Source organism: Homo sapiens, chromosome 9 (assembly GCF_000001405.40).
Source record: "Homo sapiens chromosome 9, GRCh38.p14 Primary Assembly".
Lineage (NCBI taxonomy): Eukaryota > Metazoa > Chordata > Mammalia > Primates > Hominidae > Homo > Homo sapiens.
The window spans coordinates 95,173,672-95,188,401 of record NC_000009.12 but is presented as its reverse complement, the minus strand read 5'-3'; the positions used below and the strand labels follow the sequence as shown (position 1 = coordinate 95,188,401).

Here is a 14,730-nt window from a genome sequence, read left to right as displayed (position 1 = left end):
GAAGTTGTGCTTGGAGGCAGTGGCAAGAGCCAGTGGGAGCTTTTCATGGAGCAGGCTGCATTAACCCACGCGCTGTGTGCCTCCTGAAGCTGTGGCAGTAGTGGCGTGACACCTGCCTTCCTGGGAGCCTGGGAAGAACCCCAGGAAGAGACAGTGAAGATTGCATCTCTTGTGGGAGATAGAAAAGAGTTCAGTTTAGTATTGGCAGTGATAAATGCTTGCTGTGTAGGCAAACAGAATGATGAAACAGAAGACATTAAAGACCTCTTTCTCCCCCTAATTAGGATAGGTTCTAGACATTTGGCCTGTGTCAGAGAAACAGCCCTGGCACTGAACCATGGAAACTAACATTTATTTCGCACCTACTATGAGCCAGATCTCTAGCCGGGCGATTTACATGAAGACACTGATGCGTAGTGACAGTAAGTGAGTTTCTTCACTGAGTGGCAGAACTACTCATTGAACCTAAATGGGTCTGACTCCAAGTCTTGAGACGTTTCCATCCTGAAAGCGTTCTACCTCAGGTCCTCAAGTAATCTCACCACACACGGTGGTCTAGGTCATGTCTGCACCCTGTTGTTGGAGATTTTGAACCAGAGGAAGGGGTCACTCCGGCAGAGGTGGGGAGGTCACAGGATGACCTGGGCTTCCCCCTATGCTGTCCTCTCCTGGTTCTTTCCCTAGTGCACAGGAGATAAAGACACACAGCATTTGAGCTATAGTCAGGTCTGTGGCTGGTGAGCCCCAGACTTTACAGTGCAGTGGAAAGGGGGTGTTTGTCCTGTTGGAAGAACAGATTCTAGGGCCCACCCCCAGAGGTTTGGATTCAGTGGGCTGGGTGGGACCAAGGTGGTCTGCAGGATAATTCAGATTGAGGTCTCTGTACATGACATCCTGAGAAACGCTGACTTAGGCCCTCCGGTTTTCAGTCTTGGCTCCTCCTGGGCCTCTGCATACATTTGTGGCAGACCTAGAAATGATATCGTCAGGTGAGTGTATGTATGCAGGACAGGCATTGGAGATGAGCCAGAGGGCAGGAGGTGGGCCTTGGCCGTGACCATGAAGAGGGAGAAGGGAGAAGGTTAGAGGTATCCAGAACCCAGGAACTGGGGTTACGCAGCTCTCAGATTATACTCCATGCTCATCCGAACTGCGACTTCAGATACAGCAGCATCAGATGGGAGACGTGCTGGGAGTGCGTAACGCTCGCTGCTTCCCGTGCATGTGCCTCACTCACTTCTGTGAACTTCCTCAAAGTCAGTTTTATCATCTACTTTTATGGAATTGAAAACTGAGGAGACCTAACACCGTTTTTAAAAATTATCCTAAGGCCAGGCACGGTGGCTCGCACCTGTAATCCCAGCACTTTGGGAGGTCAAGGCACCTGAGGTAAGGAGTTTGAGACCATGTGGTGAAACTCCGTTTCTACTGAAAGTACAAAAATTAGCCAGGCGTGGTGGCGCATGCCTGTAATCCCAGCTACTCAGGAGGCTGAGGCAGGAGAATCTCTTGAACCCGGGAGGCAGAGGTTGCTATGAGCTGAGATCACGCCACTGCACTCCAGCCTGGGCCACAGAGTGAGACTCTTTCTCAAAAAAAAAAAAAAAAAAATCCAACAGTCCGAGCGCAGCAGTCTCCCCCTAACCTCAAAAGCCTCCTCAGAAGTAACCTGGTATCAGTGGGCTGTGCAGATTCTTATAGTCTTCTTTGCCTTTATATATGAAAATAACTTTGTTTTATGTTTGTTTTCACATAGGTGGAATTATACTGACTCTTACTCTGTGACTTGCTTTCTTCACATGACAGTAACTCCTGGACTGTTTCTGTAGCAGCCACACAAGTCTCCTTTATATTGCCAATATCTATCTTTATCCCAAAGACAAGATGAATGTTCAAAAACGGTAATCCAAACTCACTTCTAAAAATGGGTGTGTGTTTAAAGAAGAGCTGCTCAGCTGAGGCAGTTTTGCTGCCGAGGGGATTTGAGCAATGTCTGGGGACGTGTGGTTGTCACAACTTGTGAGGGGGCTCCTGGCATTGAGGAGGTAGAAGGCGGGAATGCACAGGTCAGGCCCCTGCAACAAGGAATTGTCAGGCCCAAAATGCCAATGGTGGCAACACTGAGAAAATGTGATCGGTTTAAACCTGCTTATCTTAATGGTGTTTCAACAGCCTTATTAAGGGGCTTGACCAATATGTAGTTTATCAACACCAGCCTTTGGTGTAGTGGGGTGAGTTGTGCTCCTGTTGGAGAAGCAGATTCTAGGGCCCCACCCACAGAGTGCATACTTGAGAGGCAGAGGTGTGAACATTGCCCTTGAGCTCAGGAGCTCCACAGCAGCCTGAGCAACATACTGAGAGCCCATCTCCTAAAAAACAAAAACAAAAAAGTGCTGAATAATAAGTCCATTTTAAACATATGATAAGATTTCAGATTTTCTGAGGAAAAAATTAATTAGACTTGGCTTCTTCTCTGACTTGAAATTAGCAATACTTTTATACATCTCAAAGTGTGGTTTATGAAAGAGGCAAAATTGTCAATGACTACTTGTTGAATTTTGCTTCCTAACCATGTAATGGGGACAAGTGTTTCCGAAAACATGTTTTATATGGTTAGTTTTCCTGCAGATGGGAATTGTTCGCTGAATTATACTTTGTCCACTTAGGCTTAGGTAGATATGGATTCTGTGAAAGTGGAAATCATTGAACAGTTTAAATACTGGATTAAAAGAAAAGGAACTATGGTAATTGCAGATCTGTTAGATGGAATCTGTCGTGCCCTAATAAGAGTGATAAGGAAGACCATTAACTGTTGGAAGCAAGTTGTTGGGTTCGAGGTTGGGAATTGGGCATGATTTGTTTCCTGTGTCACTGCTTAGGTTAATTTACTCAGACTGCCATTTTTGTGTTGGAAGGAAATAAGGTCTAGGCCCTAAGCTTAGACTGTCTTCATGCCTAAAGAAGTCCAACCATTCATTATTACTTCGCTAAAGGATGCATTAACATGAATATATATAATAAAGATAATGACTCCTTTTTTCTCAACAAATTTTAAATTAACTTAAACATGCCTGATTTTCAGAAAGAATTAAAAGTAAAACCATACCTTTAATTTAGGACTGACTTCTGCATTTCGATTGTAGATTATTCTAATATGAAGAGTGCTATTTGCATGTTGGAATATCTTTTAATTCTTAATTTGTAAGTTACAAAGAAATAGGAGACTGAAATACTTTTTATCTTACAAAATTCCAAATACCTTTTCAAGCAATTTATATCTTATTTCTATAATAGTTTTATCACCAGCCAATGGGTATGCACTGTATGTCATAATATGGAAAGAAATTCTTTATCATTTCAGATATTAAGGATTTCAGATTTTAAGAGTTATCAGTGAAACTGTGTTACAAGAATATTTTGTTCCTGAGACATCTCAGTATTATAGGTGGCTTCAGACTAACAGGCACAGAATAGGATAGTGTGAAGTATCTGATTAGCTTTACTGTACTTGGTACCTTTAGGACGTTCAGCCAGAGGTGATTGGAGGGATTTGCACGTCTACCACTCGTGTGTGTATCTGTGAACCATATCTCCTTTAGTGCCTGCTTTTGAACTTTATATAAACAGAATGATGCTGCCTGTTTATTTCTATAATTTTCTTCTTTCCCTTAGCATGTGCTGTTCTTGGCCCCTTGCTTCTCCATGTGAATTTTGGAAAAGCTTCTGAAGTTCCACCAAAAACCCTATTTGGAATTGTTACTGGTACTGCATTGAGTTTCTATGCCAGAGAACTGACATCTTTGTGACATTGAATTTTTCTTGCTAAGATCCAAGGTCTTCCTTTATGCAGACCTTTCACATGTATTTTTAACAGTTTTGTAACACGAATCTTCTTTGCTGTCTTGTCATGTAATGCTTTGCCGGGGAGTGGTGGTCCATCTTACTCTGTAGAGGACATTTCTTTCTTTTTTTAGTGAAGTAAATGTAGGTGGTGCTTATGAGTTGTTTTAATTTCTAGTTTGTCTTTGTTTGCAGGGGGAAGTGATAATTTAAAATTGTGTTGTAAGAAAATTGGCCAATTTTCACCATGGTATTTAATTTAGAAAAATATAAGTCACTTGCAGGTAATTTAGTCAGTTTGGGCATTTTGATATTAAGTAAACAATTCCAGTATAATAACATAAATGCTTTCCTAGATGTTTACATATAATGCCATAATTATGTAAATAAATAAAATTCATTTAATTACATTAAATTTTTTTAATGTTTACATTAAAAAAAGGGGGGGAGAAGCAACTAATTCAGCATTCGGGCACAAGTATTTTATATGGTCATGGTCAGAGAGCCCTCCAGGTATTCGACATGGTAGCATGGCCACAGGCCCAGGACTGAATAGACTGGTTTGAGGAAAGAGAAGGTTAAACACACTGATTTATACCTGAGAAATACATTTTGGTGGGCCAAAAATAATTGAGTGTATCGGATGGAACTAACAAAAGCTTTCTTTTACTAACCAGTTTTGCAGGAAAAACATGTTTTAAAATATGTAGATATGCATTATAACTTCTATTTAAATACAGCTGAGGTTGAATTTCTCAGGACCCCTTTCAGCAAAGATGGCCCTTTGCTTCTGCTTTTCCTGTCCGTCCTGGATGTTCTAATCCCAGCACCCGAAGGTTACTGCAAGCTGAGTGGCACCAAAGCAACACCGTAGCCAATGAAAGTACATCATCATTGGTGTGCAGGTTCTGGTCAGTGTTACCAACATGAGTTAATATCTTTGAAGTAAAAGCACATAGCGATGTCATGTTTTCCCAGTATTCTGTGGGTATTTTATGACCTGCAACTTAGGAAAGCAAATTGTGAAAAAGAAAACTTGTTGTGTTCTCCTATAACAAGGTCACAAGGGAATCCTGCAGCGATTATGTTCTTCACTAGCTGTAAGAGAGCAATCTGTGCTCTTGGTTTTGACTCAGCTGGTCTTTATTGAATGACTATTGTGTGGCTCCCAGCTGTGGTAGGAATGTGAAGGACAGCGAGGCAGTGCCTGCCGTGGAGCGCCTGCATGCTAACGGTGGACAGAGGAGAGCAGGCTCACCGTTACACTGCAAGGTGACCTTGGAAGGTGCAGGGAGAGAAACACAAGGGAGGAACCACAGAGACTCCAGAACAACATCTTGCCCAGTCAAGAACTAGAACAGGAATCCTAGAGAAAGGTGAATTTTGAAAGATGGGTATGATTTTGGCAGCTAGAGATGGGGGCGGGGAGGTTGTTGGGTTTCTCAGAAGAAGGAAAAGGTCTGGAGGTGGGAAGGGGCTGGGTGAATTTGGTGACCAGCCAGGAGTCTGATGTCACCAAGTCACAGGGATGAAAGAGAAAGGCAGGGGAAGTGAGTTTGCGCAGGCGGGCTGAGGCCATGTAGGGGCAGGCTGGAGTAGGGGCCGGGAGCCTTAGGGGGTGACAGGAGAGGTTTTCCCACCTTTTTTCTCTACTCCTTCCCCAGTCACCTTCCCCTGTCCCAGCGACATCACACATGCATTCTTTCTGTCTTCCCCTTGCCTCTCCCTCCTCCACTTTGTCTTCTTCCCCAGCCCTCAGAATCAGTTCAGATGCCATTGTCTCTGGAAGTACCCCAGAACCCAGCAGTTGGAACTCATCTCTCCTTGCTCTGTTCCCACAGCGGCTGCCTCACCAAGAGTCATTCCAGCACTCAGCAAGCTGGCTCACGTGATGGCTATTCCCACCTGCAGCACCCTTCACCAGGCTGCAGGGCTTCTCACCCCAGTGGTCCCAGGAGAGTGGCTTGAAAGCAGATCATCCTCAACCTGTGTTTGTTGAATGAATAAATAAGGGATCCCTATTTATAAGCACGTTTTTCTTGGAGATGGAGTCTTTCTCTATCTCCCAGGCTGGAGTGCAGTAGCGCGATCTTGGCTAACTGCAAGCTCCGCCTCCTGGGTTCACGCCATTCTCCTGCCTTGGCCTCCCGAGTAGCTGGGACTAAAGGCACCCGCCACCATGCCCAGCTAATTTTTTGTATTTTTAGTAGAGACGGGGTTTCACCATGTTAGCCAGGATGGTCTCGATCTCCTGACCTTGTGATCCGCCTGCCTCGGCCTCCCAAAGTACTGGGATTACAGGCGTGAGCCACCACGCCTGGCCAACACCTTTTTTTTTTTTTGTATATTTTGTATAAAGAGATATGCCATGGAGAGCAAAGTGGTGGAAATTCTAAAAGACTTTAATGATCAGATGAAGAAATTGTTTAGAGAAGCATAATATACGTGCTCTGTCTTAGTTTGAGAATACTGACCACAGTTTGGCTCTCCTAGCCCTTTGCCTGAGCAAAACCCACAACCCTTCCTCCACACCCAGACCATGTTCCAAGCCACAACCCATTGCTCCAGCTTTCCTAACCTGCCTGCGAATGTGCTGCCTGTTACACGAGGGAGCAGATACAGTGAGGCAAGGACAACTAACAGCACCCAAAAGCAAGGGCAGTGGATTTCCCTCTGCTTTATTTAAAACTCCCCTTCTTAGGAAAGTTCACTCGCATGATCTAAGCACATTCAATGGCTTTTCACACATGAGCAGAGTTTCATTCTTTTACATGAATCGAAATTGGGCTTAAAATCATTTTAGATACAGCCATCTTGGTTCCCATACTTTCTACTCATGAAAGATTTTATATCAGTGGTCAGGATGATAAAATCTGTACATCTTTATGTCTGAACCTGTTCATTTATATCCACATCCTTTTCTTAAATACTGATTTGTATATTTAGAAACTCAGTGCTTCATTAGTAAACTGAGGGAGTTAGAGTAAAGGATCTCCAAGATCACTCTGCCAGCATTTGAGAAAGAACCTATTATTATATGACTATAGGAATTTATTTTTGTCCAAGAGCCAATGCCTAATCTTTAATGGTTTTGTGTTTAGACTATTTACCACTAGGTGGCGGTAAAAAAAATTATTCTTAGCAATGAGAAATGCTCATCAATATTTAAGTTTACTATAAAATAAAAATTTAGAGGACCAAAGTTTGAGGTGTCTGTTTGAAAACTACGTAACCATATACTGGCCTCTGTATGTTGTTTCTAGGACTTAACACTTATTTTATTCAGGGAAAAAACTCTTGTGGCACTTCATAGCCACTTATATTACAGAATTATGGAAAAACGTAAATTAAAATATGTAATTTTGTTTCATACACACACACACACACACACACACACACACAATGTGTACGTGTGTGTGTGTGTATGTGTATATATAGAGAGGAGAGAGAAAGGTTAGGTACATTCAAGGTTTCCGGCATCCACTGAGGGTCTTGGAGTGTATCCCTTGCAGATAAGTGAGATACTACATTTTCATTTTTCCAGGACATTATATGTTAAAGTCAGCTCGTGCAATGCAGACATTGGAAGTTTAGTCATGTGCCTTATAATGACATGTTGATCAACAACAGCCTGCATGTACAATAGTGGTCTCATAAGATTATAATGGAGCTGAAAAGTGTCTATGACCTAGGGACATCATAGGTGTTATAATGTAGTATAACACATTGTTCACATGTTTGTGGTGATTCTAGGTAAACAAACATCCTGTGCTGCTAGTCATAGAAAAGGATAACACATATAATTATATATAGTACATAATTACTTGATAATAATAAATGGCTGTGTTATTGGTTTATGTACTTAACATACTATACTTTTTGTTATTTTAGAGTGTACTACTTATTTAAAAAAAAAAAAAGTTGGCCAGATGTGGTGGCTCATGCCTATAATCCCAGTGCTTTGGGAGACCAAGGCAGAAGGATCACTTTAGGCCAGGAGTTTGAGACCAGCCTGAGTGACATACTGAGACCTACCTCTACAAAAAATAAAATTAAATTTAAAAAATAAGCCTCAGCTTATTCAGTCTCAGCTACTTGAGAGGCTGAGGCGGGAAGATTGCTTGAACCCACGAGTTGAAAGTTGCAGCGAACTGTGATTGCTAGCCTGGGTGACAGAGCAGAGCAATACCCTGTCTCAAAAAAAAAAAAAAAAAAAAAAAAAGAGTTAACTGTAAGACAGCTTTAGGCAGGTCCTTCAGGAGGGATTCATTCCAGAAGAAGACATTGTTATTACAGGAGATGACAGCTCCACATATGTTATTGTTATTGCCCCTGAAGACCTTCCAGTGGGACAAGATGTGGAGGTAGAAGACAGTGATATTAATTACCTGACCCTGTGTAGGCCTCAGCTAATGTGTGTGCTTCAGTTTTTCTCTTTAATATTTAAATTTTTATTGATACATAATATGCATACAGAAGTACATGCACAAAGCATTAAGATAAAGCTCAGTGAATTATTACAAGGCAAATACATTTTTGTAACCACAAGATAGAATCAGCCTTGTTCATGCTTCTGACATCCACTTTCTTCCTTCTTCCTCTCCAAAGGTAGCCAAAATCTTAAGAGCTAATGTTATGGATAAACTTTGTCTTTTTAGACAAGTGTTTTATTACAGAACATTTTAAACATATACAAAATAAACAAAATGGTGTAATAGACCTGACACTCAGCCTCAACAACTACTCATCATGTGCTATTTCTGCTTCATCTATACTTCAGCTCATTCCCCATCCCTTTATTTTTTTATTTTTATAAGATAAGATGTATGTGCATTGACATGTATAATCTTTATTGTACCTTTTTGACAAATCAGTACACCCATATAACTTTTTATCCTCTTAAGAATAGAATACCGGCTGGGCATGGTGGCTCACACCTGTAATCCTAGCACTTTGGGAGGCTGAGGTGGGCAGATCACTTGAGGCCAGGAGTTCGAGACCAGCCTGGCCAACATGGTGAATCCTTATCTCCACTAAATACACAAAAATTAGCTGGGCGTGGTGGCACACACCTGTAATCCCAGCTACTCTGGAGGCTGAGGCAGGAGAATCACTTGAACCTGGGAGGCAGAGGTTGCAGTGAGCTAAGATTGTGCCATTGCACGCCAGCCTGGGTGACAGAGCTAGTAACAATCATTAATGTGCATATGAATCACCTGGAAATATTATTTTAAATCCAGATTTTAATGAAATAGGTCAGATTTTGATAAAATAGGTCAGGGTTTTGTCTGAGAGTTTGTATTTCTAACAAAGTACAGATTCATAGAGCACATGCTAACTACAAGGTCTCTTTTATCTAAAGTAAATAAAATTTGATGAATAAACTAAGGGAAATTGACCTTAGATGAAAGAACACATCAAAACACATGTGCAATATGCTATCTGTAGGAGCATTTGGTTAACGAGCATAAACCAACCAAGCAATTTTATAATTATTTTAATCCAAAGTTAGCGAAATCTCTATTATGGTTTCCATGGAAATGCTCCTTCAGGCTAAGAAATGTTAGTATCACCAGAGGGCACTGGTTAAAAACACCACAGATTTGGAAGTCGATGTCTTATAAAGTAAGTGACAGACCCCTCTTTACACCCATAAGTGGCTTTTACAGAGTTACCCAAAATTCAGTCATTTGTACACCAAGTGTAGATAATTTTCATAGCTTCCTATTAAAATTATATTTTAACGCCCTTACAAAATTTAACTCAATTTTCTTATAAAATGAAATAACATTTTTATATGACATTGTTATTCAGCTTAAACATACATACTTGTATTGGGTGCTGTGTCCGTGTGTTGACCACCCAGTGTTCTTTGGGGTTCCACTCTTTGCACAGGCACCACAGCTGGAGAAACACAGACGCACAGACACAAGCTGGATCCTGCGTCTCTTCCTGCCTCCGGGCACAGGGCGCCAGTCAGCCTGGTTGTGCGAATGGAGGTCGTGTTCCTTAGCACAGAGGGACTCATTCCAGGGCGCTCCCCTCAGAGGAGGAAGAGACCGGAAGGTCGTTTTAGGGGGCACTTCCTGGGACATGGGCCAAGCCTCCTAAGGAGTGAGGGCTCCAACCAGCAGGTACAGACCTCTCAGAAGTCAGGGATAAGGCGGCCATTCTGAACCTGGATCTCCACCACCCCTTGTCCCATCTCATCAAGACAGTTCTGAGGGGCTATTCTGGCACATGTCTGGACGTTAGAGGCTGGAGGACAATGTGGGCTTTGATGGGATTCAGATAAGGTCTGTTCCAGGGAGGCAGGAGGTTGATGCTCAGCATCTGGGATGGTGTCCTTGTGGACAGTGAGTTGCCTCTTTGGGTACAAGTCCATTTTCACTACAGAAGAGACTAGAGCAGGGGTGTCCAATCTTTTGACTTTCCTGGGCTACATTGGAAGAATTGTCTTGGTCCACACATTAAATACACTAACACTAGTGATAGTTGATGAGCTTAAAAAAAAAAAGCAAAAAATAATCTTATAATGTTTTAAGAAAGTTTACAAATTTGTGTTGAGCTGTGCACTGACAAGCTTGGGCTGGAGAGTCTGAACGGCTCCCCGATCCCCTCTCTGATTCTCTTTGGCAGCAAGGCCTTGAAGGGGCTGAGTCTCAGTGTCTTGGGGGAATTCTGGAAAGCCTGTTTGGGAACCTGAGAAGACCTCTTGCCTGGAGCTTGAATGCTTGATTTGCTGTCCTGGCCACATGCATGCTTGGCAGCCAGAGAGCGGGGTTTGCATTCACACCAGCACAACAGTGAGCCAGGGGTTGAAGTGACCAGGACAAGTGTCTGGGTGGCAGTGTGCCTCAGTTTTTAACAAAAAAGTTTAAAAAGTAAAAAAAAATTAAAAAATTAAAATAGAAAAGCTTATGATATAAGGATATAGTGAAAGAAGATATTTTTGTACCGCTGTACAATGTGTTTTAGGCAAAGCATTGATTGTAATAGTCCAAAAGTTCAACAAAAATAAAAGGTTTATCAAATTTGAAAGTTGCGGTAAGCTAAGAATAGTTTATTGCTGAAGAAAGAAACAAGTTTTTAAGAATTTAGTGTAGCCTAAGTGTACAGTGTCTGTGAAGTCTACAGTGGTGCAGAGTCATGTCTTCGGCCTTCATATTCACTCCCCATTTACTCACCCAGAGCAACTTCCAGTTCTTCAGGCTCCATTCATGGGAAGTGTCCTATACAGGTGTACCATTTTTTCAGTGTTATACCATAGTTTTACTGTACCTTTTCTATGTTTAGATAGGTTTAGATCACAATGTTACAGTATTCTGTACAGTCCCATGCTGCACAGGTTTGTAGCCCAGGAGCAATAGGCTCTCCCATGTAGCCTAGGTGTGCAGCAGGCTGAGCCATCTGGGTTCATGTAAGTACACTCTGTGATGTTTGCACGCAAAGAAACTGCCTAACGAAGCATTTCTCAGAATGTATCCCAGTTGCTAAGTGATACATGACTGTAATATCTAGGGAACTATTTGTGGCTATTTTAAACATTACTTAAGAATTATTTACAATCTCTCATCTCACCCTCTGAATCTATCAAATGTCAAGACGGAGCTCATACAGTATTGGGAAGTCACCCTCCGTGAGCTGGTCCCAGGCCCAGGGTGTGAGTGCTTCTGGGAGGCTGTGGGTTAGGGGAAAGCCTGGGCATGGTTTTGTTTAACATCTACAATCTTAACTGACCCTTAGCTGTTACTGCTCAAAACTGGTTTCCTTCAATTACATACTACATTACTTTCCATCTCAACCAGGTTTGTAGCGCCTTGCGCTCTAATTTTTTAAGGGTGGATTGTGATATACAATAACAGTAGCCACCTGTTTATGGGTGGCTTAATTGAAACTTTGCTGAATTGAATTTGATTAAAAACTGAGCCTGGGATTTTCAGTGAGATGCCACACTTAGAGAACATAGTGCCTCACACATTGTAAGCACTTGGTAAATTGTGGTTGTCACAATTGCTAGAATTCCTTCAAGAAGTCAATTCTCACAAGTGAGGGGCATAGGAGAGCTCCCCAGGCAGAGGGGATTGGACATACTGAAGTCCTGATGGCCCAAAAAGCCTGTGGCCCTCCAGGGTCGCAAACAGGCTTGTAAGGAGAAGTCAAGCCTGGTGGCGGGTGTGGGGTGTGCTGGTGAGCCAGGCTGCTTCACTTTGAGAAGTTTGGGCTTCACAGTAAGAGTAACTGGAAGCTGTAAGGGTCTCAGACTGAGAGCATTCAGATTTGCATTGTTAAAAACTATCCCAACAGTCTCATGGACAGTGGATACAGGGAGGTTCATTATAAGGTTTGGCCATAGAGTAAATAACTAGCCTTGGGCAGGCTGCTTAAACTGTCTTGATTTCCTCCTCTTTAACCCAGATTCAGTAACAGTACCTACCCGTAGGCTGTGAGGATTAAATGAGTTGCTATTTGTAATTGGCTTAGAACAGCCCCTGGTGTGTAGTAAATGCTTTAAATGAGTGTTAAATAGAATGCAAAAGTCTGGTTTCTGAGCAGAAGGTTGCATTCTTCTGACACTGCCCTCCCCTCACCTAGCATCAGACTGACCTGCTCTGTGCAAACCCAGACTGCTGCCGACTTGGAGCCCACCTACTTTCCAAACCAAGTCCTCCCTTCTCTGCCTGGGTCTGACTTGGACACCTCCGCGTGGATTTGACATATGGCTGGCCAGACCTGGCCGGGCTTTCCCTTTTCCCAGAACACCTGCACTGCACCCCACTGGGGATTCAGGCTCCATCCTGGCTTGCTAAGAGCACCAAGTGCTCTCCCTGCTGTGCAGGCCCCACCCTCCGCCTTCGCAAGTTCAGTGGAGTCCAGCAGTAAGCGCAGCTGGCAGTAAGCACTTCCACAGATGGCACGCTGGCTTGTACCTGAGCTCCCTGACTCTGCCCACCCAGCCATGGCTGCTCCCTCTCTCTCCCAGATTGCACTTGGTGTTGGAAGAGAACACCACCAACATGGAGACGAACTCTCTTGGGGCTATGGTCAGCTCCTATTTGCTTTCTGTATTTGCGGCAGATTTGAACTGAAAGAGGGAAAAAACAATAACAAGCAAGTGGCCCCATCCTTCTCTCTACCTTAAGCAAGGTTCACTCTAACTCTCTAACTCTGTAAGGTTCCTGTTTTTACCCCTTTCCAGTGGATTCATTTTTTTGTAAATCATGTAGTACATATTACTGGGGGTTTTTTGTTGTTGTTTTTATTAATCATGAACGTCTTCTACTGAGTAGTAATGTTTTAAAGCTACTTTGTTAACTTGCAATTCTAATTTGAAAACTGTAGATAGGATGTCATGTAGAAATGGCAGGTTTCCACTTACATGACTTAGGAGTGTTGCCTGGATTCTCTTTTAAGGATACGGAGGCAGGGGTGAGCTCACAGGGAGAAAGTACATGATCTGCACAAAAGGATGCATCCCAGATTCAGGGTAGAGTTTCCCCCAGGGGTAGGGCTGTTGAATCATGATGGGGAAGGGCAGAGGGCATAGAAGGCTTCTTCTGTATTTCTAATGTTTACTGATTAAGCTTGAAGGTTTGTGGAATTTGACATAATATTTTGTATCTTTTTGGATGTGTGAGATACTTTATGATGAAATTGAAATGACCACCGTGATAATGGTAACCACTCAGAGTGTCACTGGTATGTGTGCCACGTGCTTGTCGTCCCGGGTCTATGGAGCCTGCCTGCCCATCACTGAGGCACCCTTAGCCTCCACCCTGGATTAGACTGTCATCTCCAAGTATTTGTGTATGAAGTTACATACATACATTTATATGCACAGATGCAAATTCATTTTATCTTGTAATGTGTTATCACAAAATGCAGTATAGGACTTTTTTAAAGATCAAATATTTCCAAATAAAACTTTTTCAAAAAATATTTTTCCTGGTAGTAAAAGAAGCACATACATGTATGGAAGGCTAGGAAATTGTACTTAAGTAGAAAGAAGAAGAAAAAAAATATATATATATAATGTTAATATAAATGTTAGCAGTCTCTAGGGTGGTACTATTATGGGTCTCTAGCACCACCCTAGAAACTGCTAACATTTGGTGATAGCTGTGATCTAAATATATCCCCTAAAATTCATGTGTTGAAACTTAATCACCCATGTGATAATATTAAGAGGGGCTTTGGGGGTGATTAAGTCATGAGGGCAGAGCTCTCATGAATGAGACTGGTGATTTTATAAGAGGTGGAAGAGAGTGCCCTGGGCCCTTTTTGCCCTTCTGTCCCTTTCACCATGTGAAGACACAGCATTCATAGTGTCCGTTTCCTCTAGAGGGCACAGCAACAGGGCATCACCTTGGAAGCCTTCAGCAAACACTGAACCTGCCAGCTCCTTGGTTCTGGACTTCCCAGCCTCCAGAACTGAGACATAAAGTTTTGCTCTTATAAATGACCCAGTCTGAGGTACTTTGCCATAGCAGCACAGACTAAGACAGTGATGTTTTCTTCCATTGTTTTTCCATTCTCATTTATGGATTATTTTTATATTGATGAGATCATTTCTGAGTATAACATTTTACATCTTTCTTCATTTAGTAGTATAATATAACCATTTTAAATACTATTAAAATTATTCATAAACTTTTCTTTTCCTTGGAGACAGGGTCTCACTCTCAACTCCCAGCCTGGAGTGCAGAGCCTCAATTTCTGGAGCTCGAGTGATCCTCCTGCCTCAGCCTCCTGAGTAGCTGGGACCACAGATGTGCACCACCATGCCCAGCTAATTTTTTTGTATTTTTTATAGAGGTGGGATTTCTCTGTGTTGCCCAGGCTAGTCTCGAACTCCTGGGCTCAAGTGATCTGCCCGTCTCGGCCTTCCAA

At 42.5% G+C, this 14,730-nt stretch overlaps 1 protein-coding gene across 21 annotated transcripts in view, besides 1 other annotated feature; it reads left to right on the top strand.

The window, feature by feature from the left end:
• The window catches only part of FANCC (FA complementation group C), a 218,656-nt gene that overhangs the window by 129,308 nt on the left and 74,618 nt on the right, over positions 1 to 14,730 (top strand). For 2 of the 21 annotated variants that reach the window (XM_047422958.1, XM_047422957.1), the window contains exon 2: positions 1,757 to 1,901. The exons of the other annotated variants lie outside the window; for them this stretch is intronic. The gene's annotated coding sequence lies outside the window, so the exon portion shown is untranslated. The remainder of the gene's footprint in view (positions 1 to 1,756; positions 1,902 to 14,730) is intronic. 21 annotated transcript variants of the gene reach the window in all.
• Positions 9,987 to 10,156: an enhancer, noted in NCBI's record as "experimental_110513 CRE fragment used in MPRA reporter constructs". NCBI's record gives its function as "activates a minimal promoter by MPRAs in K562 erythroleukemia cells, with activity observed for both the introgressed and non-introgressed 9:97940613 variant alleles {active_cell/tissue: K562}" and the evidence as "EXISTENCE:reporter gene assay evidence [ECO:0000049][PMID:34662402]".